Below are 12,278 nucleotides of genomic sequence, written 5' to 3'. Positions count from 1 at the left end.
GTAACATGAAATAAGAAAGAACCATAGCAAATTTGAGTTTGGTAAACTCTTGAAAGGGGTACGTTGAAAGAAATGGGGATAGTGAAAAATGTTTATTCTCCACAAACAGGTTACCAGCTTAGTAGGAATGCTGCTCCTAAGTTAAGGTAGTGTACTTCCTGCTGTCAGTGCAACATTAAAAAAAAAAACTGCTTTATCATTGCTCTTTATAGTTCTTCTGTGGAGTAAGTTAGCATTACAGTTAACATGTTCAGCAGTTCACAGGCTGGAAAATTTGGGCCTACATTTGGAATGAAGAACAAGTACAGGAATCAGGACTTCTTGTTCTCTTCCCCCTCTTTGCTTGAGCTAAGCTTGTCTCTTACAAGATCCAGGCACCATTCTTTTTACTCTATTTTGCTTTTATAGCTTGATCATGTCATAAATTCTGCATGTAGCTCAGTCGTCAAGCCACTAAAGCAGGGGTTGGCAAGCTTTCTGTTAGGGGCAAATGGTAAATATTTTAGGCTTTGTGGGCTCTTACGATCTCTCAGCTGCCAACTGCAGTTGGTAGTATGAAAGCAGCCAGGGACAATATGCAAATGAGTGGGTGTGGCTGTGTCCCAATAAAACTTTATTTACAGAAAAGATGGCTGGCCGGATTTGTCCTACAGGACACCTTCTAAAGTAAAGAGTAAAATTTGGCTAAGTGTGAAATGGTCACCAAATCACTTTTATTACTTTAAAGATGTTCATTTTATCATAGATCAAAGCCCTGAGATTACAAATTCATTCATCAGCGTTACTGAGTTCCTGCTATGTGCCAGGCACTGTGCTAGGAGTTGAGGATATGGACGGGCAGGGGGACTGCCTTTTTGAGGTCTATAATCTGCCATAAGATGCCATGTGAGTAAATATCTCAAAGACCTGAAAACCTTGCTGGAGGCTCAGAGAGAACTTACCTGAAAACATGACATTTAAAGGAACCTGAAGGGATAGGTCCAGGTTATCTAGGGTGACTAGGTAAAGGGAGGGTCAGGCAAAGATCATGTTGATCAAGGTGGGGAGTTCAGAATTGTCCACTTAAAACAATATTGGATGCAATATGGGTACTGTATTTGAAGGAGAGGTCAGAGGGGTATATGAGCAGCTCAGCATTTATTTAGATACGTGTAGTGAGGAAAGAAAGGCATCAAAGAAGACTCCCTGATTTCTGGTTTAAGTGCAGGGTTGACGGTGCCATTCGCTGAAGTAAGGAACAAGTTTCAAGGGGAAAATAATGGGTTCGATTTTGAGCCTGGGAGGCAGTAGGGAGGACTCCCTTAGGAAGAGACACATAAAGTAAGGTTTGGGTGAATAGGAATTGGCCAGATAGAGCGGGGCATCTTTGAAAAAGTGTTAAAGCAGATGTATTTGAGGAAGAAAGACCAGTGTGACTGAAGTGTGTTGTGCACAGAAGAGCAAGAAAGCCTCAGTCCTTCCAGAAACTCCTGTTATTTATTGTGTTTTCATACTTGAGTCTTAAGAGATTCCATTCTGACATCTGCTGGCTATTGTGTATACTGCAGTTCCAAATTCCACTACACAAGAACAACCTTTAATAACGTATTTTTTGAAATTTGTCATAATAAATTTGAGATAAAACACAAGACCTTTTCCTTACTCTGTGTTATGGACATCACCCAGGAGACAGTGAACAGTTGCTACTTACATGCTACTTGTGTATGCTCAGTATTACAGATATGCCTATGTGGTGTCAGTTGCCTACTTTAGCATAAGTACACAAAACATAGAAATCACATATGTAAAAGTTGAATATACTTGTTACTGAGATGTAAAACATTACAAAATCATTTATGCACTTTGTCTTTTAAACATACGAAATATTTTCAGAGTTATGAAATATGTTCTTAAATTGTTTCTTTCATTCAGAAATAAAACACAGCTGGTTTTAGTCCAACAGTCATTATAAGGCTAAAAAGATCTACTTTAAGCGTGTCTAATAGTTTTTCATCTTTTTCTCAGTCACATTAGTAATAGTAGAGTTGACCCTTGAACAACACAGATTTGAAGTGCACAGGTCCACTTACGTGCAGATTTTTTTCAAAAAATGCGTTGAAAAATCGGAGATTTGCAACAATTTGAAAAAAGCACACATATGTAGTCTAGAAATATTGAAAAAATTTAAGATAAAGGATGTCATGAATGCATAAAATATATGTAGATTGTAGTCTTACTCATAAAATGCACACATCTATTATAAAAAATTAAGATTTATCAAAACTTATGTACACAGACCATACATAGCACAATTTGAGGTCAAGAGAAAGATGCAGTATTAAATCATAACTGCATAAAATTATCTTTTGTAATAGTGTAATACAGTAAGTCCATAGCCACCTCTTGTTGCCACTGCAGGGAGCTCAAGTGTTATAGGTATCCACTTAAAATGCCATGTGACACTCATCTCTGCATGAGCAGTTCCTCGCTCCAGTAAATTGCAAATCAAAGTAAAAGCGATCCCTCTCTGTCTCATGTATTTTTTGTGTTTAATACCATACCACAAAACTTTGAATAACTCCATGGGATCTATACAGAGTGCCACTAGTGATGCTGGAAGTGCTCCCAGGAAGCAGAGAAAAGTCATGACATTAAAGGAAAAAGTTGAATTCTTGATATGTACTATAGATTGAGGTCTGCAGCTGTAGTTGCTCTGATTTCAGACACGACTAATCTTGTAAACAGACAACCTAAACTTAGAATCTAAATAAATACGGTATAGTACTGTCAATGCTTTTTCTCTCTGTGATTTTCTTAACATTTTCTCTAGCTTACTGTGTTGTAAGAATACAGTATATAATAGATAATGATACAAAATACATATTAATCTATTTTTTATGTTATCGGTAAGGTTTCTGTGCAACAGTAGGCTATTAGTAGTTAAGTTTTTGGGGAGTCAAAGTTACATGCAGATTTGTGACTGTGCAGGTGTCGGGGCCCCTAACTCCCACGTTTGTTCAAGTGCGGGGTATTTTCATTTCCACTTAAGTATATAGAGGCCAAAAATGCAAAAAAGAAAGAAACTATTACATAAACAGATGTACAAAGATAATACTGCATTTGAAATACAGTCACTTGAAATGTTCACTAATCAGCTTACATATTCAAGTATAAATTCGGTGAACAAAATGATTTAGGGACAGCGATATGTAATGTAAAAATTGTGGGTTGTTGGAAAGTAGAGATCTGTCTACATGGAAAGAATACTAGAATTAGGATTTCAATGTCCTAGATTATAGTTTCAGCTCTGCTATTTATCATGTGACTATGTGAGTCAGATTTTTTAGTTGCAAACACCAAAATCCAATTTTGACAGAAAAAGAAAAGTATTTTATTAAAAGGATAACAGGGAGTTCAGTATCACCAGGAGGCCTAGAGAATTAGGCTTGGAGAGTAGGCAACTGGAACATCACCCTTTGTTCCTTGGTCATACTCCACAGAGCTGGGGCAGTGAGGACGCCATTTCTGCTGAACATTAGGTGCCACCACTTACTTTGCCAAAGCCACATGCACAGAACCCTGGATCATGGCAGCCAGTGTTGCTCTAAGAACTTGCCGCACTTGCCATGGTCCCAGAGAAAATTATTCCAGAGACTTTATTGTGTCTCTGGTACTTAATTCAAAATCAAGAGTAATTTGTAGCATGATAGAATCACAAGGAGAAGCAGAGAAAATACCTGGAATTTCCACTTCTATAGTGAAAGGCATGTTCTGCTTCCCAGCAAACTCATAAACAAGGAATTCCCAAATGTAGGAAGGGACCTCAGATGCTGGGCAGCCAAAAAGCATGGCATGTCCACTATGTTGACCTGGGACACCACTCTGTGTGAGCCTACTTTTTCTGGAAAGCAAAGTAAATAAAGCTCCCATGGCTGAGGAGATTTTGTGTGTTCACTTATACATTTGCCAGTAAACACCAGCCAGGTGCCAGTGTATAAAGATGAGTAAGTTTCCTCTCGAGTCTAATGGTAGGATAGAGGCATGCAGAGGTGAGATGAGGGCAGAAAGAAGAGAGGGCTCAACTGTAGTTTGTGAATGATGTTCTTATATTTAAGTAGTTATATTTTTGGCTGGGCGCATTGGCTTACACCTGTAATCCCACCACTTTGGGAGGCCGAGGCAGGTGGATTACCTGAGGTCAGGAGTTTGAGACCAGACTAATCAATATGGTGAAACCCTGTCTCTACTGAAAATGCGAAAGCCTGTAGTCCCAGCTACTTGGGAGGCTGAGACAGAAGAATCGCTTGAACCCAGGAGGTGGAGGTTGCAGTGAGCTGAGACTGAGCCACTGCACTCCAGCCTGGGCAACAGAGCGAGACTCTGTTTCAAAAAAAAAAAAAAAAAAAAAAAACCCCTGGCCAGGTGTGGTGGCTCATGCCTGTAATCCCAGAGCTTTGGGAGGCTGAGGCGGGCGAATCACCTGAGGTCGGGAGTTTGAGACCAGCCTGGCCAACATGGTGAAACCCCGTCTCTACTAAAATACAAAAATTAGCTGGGCCTAGTGGCTGGTACCTGTTAATACCAGCTACGGGGGAGGCTGAAGCAGGACAATCGCTTGAACCTGGGAGGTGGGGGTTGCGGTGAGCCAAGATCATGCCATTGCACTCCAGTCTGGGCGACAAGAGCAAAACCCCATCTCAAAACAAACAAAAATTCCCATGTGGCACGTGATGCTTGCCCCACTAATAGGGAAGACAGCTTGCTCTTGTAGGACACTGCTGTAGCACTTTGAAAGTCAGCTGTTTTATACAAATACCAAAATGATAATGTTAGCTGGCACAAATCCAGAAACTCAAGCTTTTGATTGTTTATTGACAGTCATATCTGGACTGCCAGTTTCATGGAGTAAGATACTTTTCAAAGGATTAAATATGGCATAGCTTTGTCAGTCAGCAAGGTAAATCATCAGGCTCATTGCAGTGTGAGACTACCCCTGTGGTCTTTCTACTATACCTAGCTACTGTACAACTTTGTGTCTTAAAATAAATTGTTGGCTTTAGGTTTTAGTGTTTGGTTTTCTTATTTATAAAAGAGACCAGCTACATGGTAACTTAGACCTCACCCAGAATCATACCACATTCACCATATGGTAATAATAGATGGAATACATTTTTATGGAATATATTCTATAGAACCAGGGACTGAAAAAGGTCAGTAGGACCACGGGGTCAATTATTTCAGGCCACAATTTCGTGTAATAATTTCTTTTTCATAGTATTCTTGGTAAATTATGTTTCTATAGCTGATATTCTCTCGTAAATTCCGGAGGTCTGTATCCAACTCCTTTTCTTTTTTAGAGACAGGGTCTTGCTTCGTTGCCCAGGTTGGTCTCAAACTCCTGGGTTCAAGCGATCCTCCTGCCTCAGCCTCCTGAGTAGCTGGGATTACAAGTGAACTGCTTTTTTTTTTTTTTTTTTGAGACACAGTCTCACTCTGCCACTCAGGCTGGAGTGCAGTGGCGCACGATCTCTGCTCACTGCAACCACCACCTCCCAGGTTCAAGCGATTCTCCTGCCTCAGCCTCCTGATAGCTGGAATTACAGGCACGCGCCACCACACCCAGCCAATTTTTGTGTTTTTAATAGAGACGGCGTTTCACCATGTTGGTCAGTCTGGTCTCAAACTCCTGACCTCGTGATTCGTCCGTTCGACCTCCCAGAGTGCTGGGATTACAGGCGTGAGCCACCACGCCCAGCCGTGAATTGCTTTTTTAATCACTCCACTTGGATGACACACAGGCATCTCAAAATTAATTATTTTTAATTGATAGATAATTGTACATATTTATGGGGTACATGTGATATTTGACTCATGCATACAATACGTAATGATCAAATCAGGGTATTTAGAATATCCATCTCAAAAATTTATCATTTATTTGTATTGGGAGCATTTAAATCTAGCTATTTTGAAATATACAATAAATTATTGTTAACTACAGTCACCCTACTGTGCTATTGAACACTAAAATTTATTCCTTCTATCCATGTTTGTACCCATTAACCAACCTCTCTCTATCCCCTTCCCCTCCCAGCCTCTGGTAACTGTCATTCTACTTGCCAACTGCATGAGATCAACTTTTTAGCTCCCACGTATGAGTGAGAACATGTGATATTTGTCTTTCTATGCGTGGCTTATTTCACTTTACATAATGACCTCCAGTTCCATCTGTGTTGCTGCAAATGACAGGCTGAATAGTATTCTGTTGTGTATATATGCCACATTCTTTTTATCCATTCATCTGTTGATGAAGACTTAGGTTGCTTCCATATCTTGGCTATTGCGAATAGTGCTGCAATAAACATGGGGATCCAGGCATACCTTTGACATACTGATTTCCATTCCTGGATAAATATCCAGCAGTGGGACTGCTGGATCATATGGCAGTTCTAGTTTTACTTTTTTGAGAAACCTCCATGCATTTTTCTATACTGGCTGTATAATTCAGTGTATGAGAGTTCCCTTTTCTCCATGTCCTCACCAGCATTTGTTATTTTTTTGTCTTTTTGTTAATAGTCATTCTAACTGGCAGTGTCAAATTTAACAAGTTCAAATGGGAGTTCTTGATCTCCCCCCGCTTCCAAATATATTCCCCTTACAATAGTTCCCATTTCAATAAATAGCACCTCCACGGGCCCAGTTAATAGGTTAAGCTACCAATCTCTGCTTCCACCCTTAACTCCTGTCTTCACATAGTAGCTGACATACTGCTTTAAAAGGTATCAAATCCTCCACCCCTTCGATGGCTTCCTGTTACGTACAATTTTAAAATCCTTATCATGGCCTATTAAGTGCTGCGTGATCTGGCCCCTACCTACCTTTCTGACCTCACTTATATTGTTCTTCCCGTTAAAAAGCTTCAGACAAGCTAGACGTTTTCCATTTCCACAAAGAGCGATCTTTTCTCCTCCAACCCAACCCACCTGGTCCAAGAGTTTTCACAGGGCTTACCCTGCCCCTCTTCCATTTGGCTAACTCTTTATCTTACTCTGAGAGGTCTTCCTTGACTACCCTTCCTTGGTCCCTAATTTATTTAGTTTTATTTTTGAAACAAGAGTCTCGCCCTGTCACCCAGGCTGGAGTGCAGTGGCACAATCATGGCTCACTGTTAACCTCGAACTCCTGAGCTCAAGTGATCTTTCCTCCAGCCTCGGCCTGCAAAAGCGCTGGGATTACAGGCATGAACACCTGGCCCCTATTTTTAAATTACAGCTCCTTCCGTGCATTTTCTACAATTTTAAACACATATTGGTTTAAATGACACTTGATTACCGTCTACCTTCTCCACTACAGAATTAACTTCAGGAGAAGAGGAACCATATCTGCTTTGTTCACTTTTGTGCCCATAATAGTAACGGCACCAGCAGCAACAAACATACAGCATTTACTTTGTGGCAGGCATTATGCTAAGCGCCATACATACAACTAATTTAATATGTACTCCTAGTACATTGTCTGGCAGGTAGCCAATGGTCAGTTTGTTCAGTGAATGAACCCAGACCCTACATGCTCATCTACAGGGTGCCTAGCACCCCAGGAAACTGCTCCTTATACTGTTAGATAACTGGTGCTCGCAGGAATCTTATTTACACTGTATTGGCCTTAGCATGCCTCCCTGCAGTTTCCACCCACTGGTTCTATTTCTGCCCCTTCTGGGGCCACGCAACACGAGCCTGAATCGTCCTTCCGCAAGCTCGCCTTTGCAGTACCCGAAGCCCCACGCGCCCCCTCCTCGTCTGCCTTCCTCCCGCCTCCCGGTGCCCCTCCTGCAGATACAGCTTTTATGCGCGGTGGTCGGGAAGCCCAGCCCCGGCCAGCCAGCTGCTCCCGGCATCCTTCGCCGCCTTGCGCGTCACATGACGGCGGCGGCTCCGCACGATCCCCAGGCAGCTGTCCGCCCCCGGGCGGGGCTGGCCGCACGCCGCAATCCTACCGGCTGCTGCGGCTCCAGCGGGGGCGGCGGGTGGCTTCCAGGGCACCGGCGGCCGCGGCCCGGACTCCGCGGTGGGCGAGCGCCCTGTGAGGTAAGCGGCCGGTGCGCAGAGGCTGCGGGCGAACTTGGGCGGCCGGGGGAGGGGACCCGGGGCGCTTCCCCAGGCGACCGACCCAGGAGGCGCCGCTCAGTCCTGGCCGAGGCTGAGCGTCTGGTCGGGCTTCGGGCATCAGGGGTCTGGCAGGACCATGAGGCGTACCCTCAGGCCGCCCGCGGCTCCGCGGTCCCCCGGCATCCGGAGGCTCAGGCGCGCCGACGGAGAGCTATGCCTTGGTTTACCCTCCCGTAAAACTACCGGACGCGGAGCATGTATCTCCGCGGTGCCTCCAGCCCTGAGATTTTTCGAGTGTGTAAGTAAAGTCGAAGAAGAAGAAGCTGACTCTTGGGATGGGAAGAGCCTTCACCTAGGAACGCAGGGGCAAATATGGGGCTGGGCACCCACTGTGTATTTTATGCAAATCTCAAGGGGCAAATATGGGGCTGGGCACCCACTGTGTATTTTATGCAAATCTCAAGCCTCTCAGACGGTTTTTTCATCTTTAAACAAAAAGTGATAACCCCTGTCCTGCCTCGCTCTTAGGACTACAGTGAAGAACAGAGGGGAAAGTCATTTGAGGAGCCAGAACTCTGGAGTCAGTTAGCTCTGGTTCAGATCACAGTTCTGCCACTTACTGGCTTTGTGACCTTCAGCCAGATTGATTCCTCATCTGTGAAAAGGAGGTAATAAGCTCATGGGTTGCTGGGAGGATTAATTGTAAAGGGTTTAGCACACAGTGTCTGGCACAAAAGCCTCAGTAGATAATGCTGTTAATATAAGCATTATTAGTAAGCTAGAGATTGCCCCACGTGAAGGGCTTTTTCAGCAGAATAATCACATTTGTTTCTATATTTTTAGTCCTGAAAACTGCCGTTTTGGTTTGTAAGACCTTTTCTTTTTCTCATTCTGGGCCCCCTTTGCCTTCTCTTTTACAATTGGCATATGAACCTGTTGTTCCTACCATATGAGTCAGGCTGGATGGGAACATCAATTTACTTGAGCAGATTGGTATCAGATTCCCTCTGAGGGGAGAGAAAAGTGCCAGGCATGTGTAGCCACCGAAAAAAAAAACACAGTACGGTGATTGACTGTCAGAGCTGGAGGATGCCTGGGAAACCATCTAATCCAGCTGTCTCCTTTGCAAATGGAGAGACTGGACCCAGAAGGACGACAGGACTTTGATTTTGCTCAGGACCCAACAGAGTGCTGGCAGTGGGTAGTGGAGAGGATGGACCTTTTACCAGGCACTGTGCTTTCCCTCAGTTCTAATCTCATTCCGCATTTATTCAGCAGCTATATGGAACCCCTACTCTGTCTTGTACACCTACTAGGATCTGGACATAGAGCTGTGAACAAGACACACATGGTCCCTGTCCTCAAGGGGCTTTTTCCAGAGCTAGCTATGTTAGTTTGAGGTTATATAATGTTTTATATATATATCCATCTCCCTGCCCGTTCTCAGTACATTTTAAAATAACAATAAGCTGCAGCTCCCAGTGAGCTTACCTCATAACAGCTGGCCTCCAGGGATAGGAGCACACAGAGAGGCCTGAATTGTTTCCTGATCCCTCACACCAGTTCCAGAGCCCTTGCTGGAGCCTGGTGAGATTTGAGAGACTGGAGAAAAAGCTGCTTTATCAGGGCTTTTAAGAAAGGATTTCCTTCTGCCCTGGAGCACTTGGATTTCTTTGTCTTTCTGGTTTCAAGCCTATTATTGTTTTTAGATTTCTGAGAAGAGCCGCCTTCACCATAGTGCCATCATTTTGGTTGCCGTGGTTATCAGGGGAATTGTATTTTTATGATCGCACAAGTAGCTGTTAAGCAATAAATGCTCAAGCAGTCACCAGGTCACCATGAGTTTCCGTTCTCTGGTTTCTTTCAGTTGCAGTGCAGTTACACTATCCCTTCCTTCCCTCCCTCCTTTTTTCCTTCAATAAACGTGCATTGGTGGCAGTGCCAAGAGGAGTGGGAGTGAGTAGAAATAGATAAAAACATACGTAGACTCTGGCCTTAGGGACCTCAGATTCTTTGGCAGGGATAAAACTGAGGGCAGATTAGTGGGGGCTCTGATGATGTAGATAGGGAGTCAGCAAGAGCTCTCAGAGATGGGAGGGATGGTGTCCTGGGCAACCAAGAAGACATCACTTGCTTTTCACAGGAAGATGTGAAGTAAACAAATTCCTTGTACCTGCTTCAGTCAGGAAATAGATGGAACAAGTGTTTTGTTCTTTCAGTTTGCCTTAATGAATGAACCTATTCTTGAGTTACCTGTCATGGGTTTTGTTTGAAATGTCTGCTAATTTCTCTCATTACCCTCTTTTAGTTTAGTGATTATTAGTTTCCCACTCGTCTAAAATGTTTGATACTGTATACATAAAGGAATGTACACAAAGAGACATTTGATTAAGATTTTGTCTATTTCAGTTTAGATGTTTAACATGTGTGTCTCATTTCACAAGTTGGGTTTACATTCACTCTTGTCTTTCCTTATTTTTTTCTAAGTAGACTCCCAAGTCCTCTCTAATGTCCTTATTAGTGAGAATTCCAGTGTCTCCTTCTCCAGCCTCTCTGGGGGCTTATACATTCCAATGGGGTCAGTCTTACTGTCACTCTCCAGAGGAGAGAGAACTGCATTGTCTGAGCAGTCCACACACATTGTCATTCCTGACACAGCTATATGGCATAACTGTTGAAGAGCTGTCCTACACAGTCCACGGATGTGTGATCACTGCTGCTCAATGCCCTTATTGGACCAAATCTCTGCCAGCATGATTCCATGCTTGGTTTTCCAAGGTTAGAGCTTGTTTCATTTATGCTTGCGTGCTCAGCCATTCTCCCCAAAGCACCTCACTCTGGGCTTTTGTTGAGCTTTTCACCAGGCTGGGTTCCCCTGGTGTCCTGGAGAGTTCTCTTTTAGGGCATTTGGGGCCCTTCCTGCTAGCAACCTTGGTCATGGTCATCTAGACCACCCAAGAGATGTCTCTGTTTTCAAACTTCTTATCAGAGTTTGTGGGCTCAGTCCCTTCTCTTCTTAACCTTAACCCAAATCCCTTTGGCAAATTGGTTCCACATACTCTCCAGGGTTCTGCCTACCGATGATTCTCAGGAATGACAGCCTTCAACAAGATAGCTACCCCAGGACTTTGGGTGCCTACTCACCTTACTTTTCCATATGTAAAGAGGGGTCGTCAGGTCACCCTGAGCCACACAGATTTAGGCATTCTGGAAAATTTACTTGGCATGTACCCTGTTAGGGATTTTGCAGGCAAGGTTTTAATTTAAAAATAAAGGATTTTAGTTTTCTCAATTTTTCTAAGAAACAATAATCAGTATATTTATTTCATTTATTTGTTTTAAACTTTTTGAATATGAAATACAGCAAATATGCATGGTAAAAAACACAATATATAGTTTAGCAAATAACTCTAAAGGAAATACACACGTAATCACCAACATGTCAAGAACTGGAACATTGCCAATACTCAGTACCTGCTTCCAAATCATAATTTCCTCCCCTAGAAGAAATCATCTTGTGATAATCATTTTTTTGCTTTTCTTTGTAATTATATCACCTATGTATATATCCCTAAACAATATAGTTTTAAGTTTTTTAATTTCATACATATAGAATCATACTTTTGCATTTTGTGTTTTGCTTCTTTTGCTCAACTTGTTTGTGAGATGCATCCACGTGGCGGCCTCACTTATTTTCGTTGCCAACAGTGTTTCATGGTATGGCTGTGTCACAATAGATGTATTCATCCTGTGGTTGATGGATACTTGAGTTGCTTATAGTTTCTGACTGCCAAGTACATCCTTAGATATTTTCTGATGTATTTGAACAAGTTTCTTTAGGTTATATATGTTAGAGTACAATTGCTTTACTAGATAGTGTCGAACAGTTTACTTTCCTACCAGGAGTATATGAGAGTTCCAGTTGCTTCATATCCTGGCAAATAGTTGCTTTTATTGGTTTTAATATTTTAACTATTTTCATGTGTGTGTCTTGATATTTCTTGTGGTTTTAACTTGCTCTCCTTGGTTACTCTTGAGGTTGAGCACTTTTTTCTTTTTTCTTTTTTTTGGAAACAGGGTCTTGCTTTGTCACCCAGGCTGGATTGCAGTGGCGTGATCATGGCTTACTGTAGCCTCAACCTCCTAGGCTCAAGAGATCTCTCCCACCTCAGCCCCCTGAGCAGCTGGGACAGC

At 42.8% G+C, this 12,278-nt stretch overlaps 1 protein-coding gene across 6 annotated transcripts in view, besides 1 other annotated feature; it reads left to right on the top strand.

Annotated features, from left to right (window-relative positions):
• Positions 7,861–8,240: a silencer, noted in NCBI's record as "silent region_19909". NCBI's record gives its function as "represses an Ori minimal core promoter by ATAC-STARR-seq in GM12878 lymphoblastoid cells {active_cell/tissue: GM12878}" and the evidence as "EXISTENCE:reporter gene assay evidence [ECO:0000049][PMID:35858748]".
• FBXO10 (F-box protein 10) overlaps positions 7,894–12,278 on the top strand; it is a 65,489-nt gene continuing 61,104 nt past the window's right edge. For 3 of the 6 annotated variants that reach the window (NM_012166.3, XM_005251439.6, XM_047423222.1), the window contains exon 1: positions 7,894–8,063. Coding sequence is in view for 3 of the 6 variants with exons in the window: in XM_005251439.6 (XP_005251496.2) it covers positions 7,896–8,063 (168 nt within the window). In the remaining 3 variants the exon portion in view is untranslated. The other 3 variants (XM_047423220.1, XM_047423219.1, XM_017014619.2) reach the window with 3 other exon arrangements.

The sequence above is a fragment of the Homo sapiens genome, chromosome 9 (assembly GCF_000001405.40).
Source record: "Homo sapiens chromosome 9, GRCh38.p14 Primary Assembly".
Taxonomy (NCBI): Eukaryota; Metazoa; Chordata; class Mammalia; order Primates; family Hominidae; genus Homo; species Homo sapiens.
Note: the sequence above shows the minus strand (reverse complement) of the source record. Positions and strands in the feature narration are given on the sequence as shown.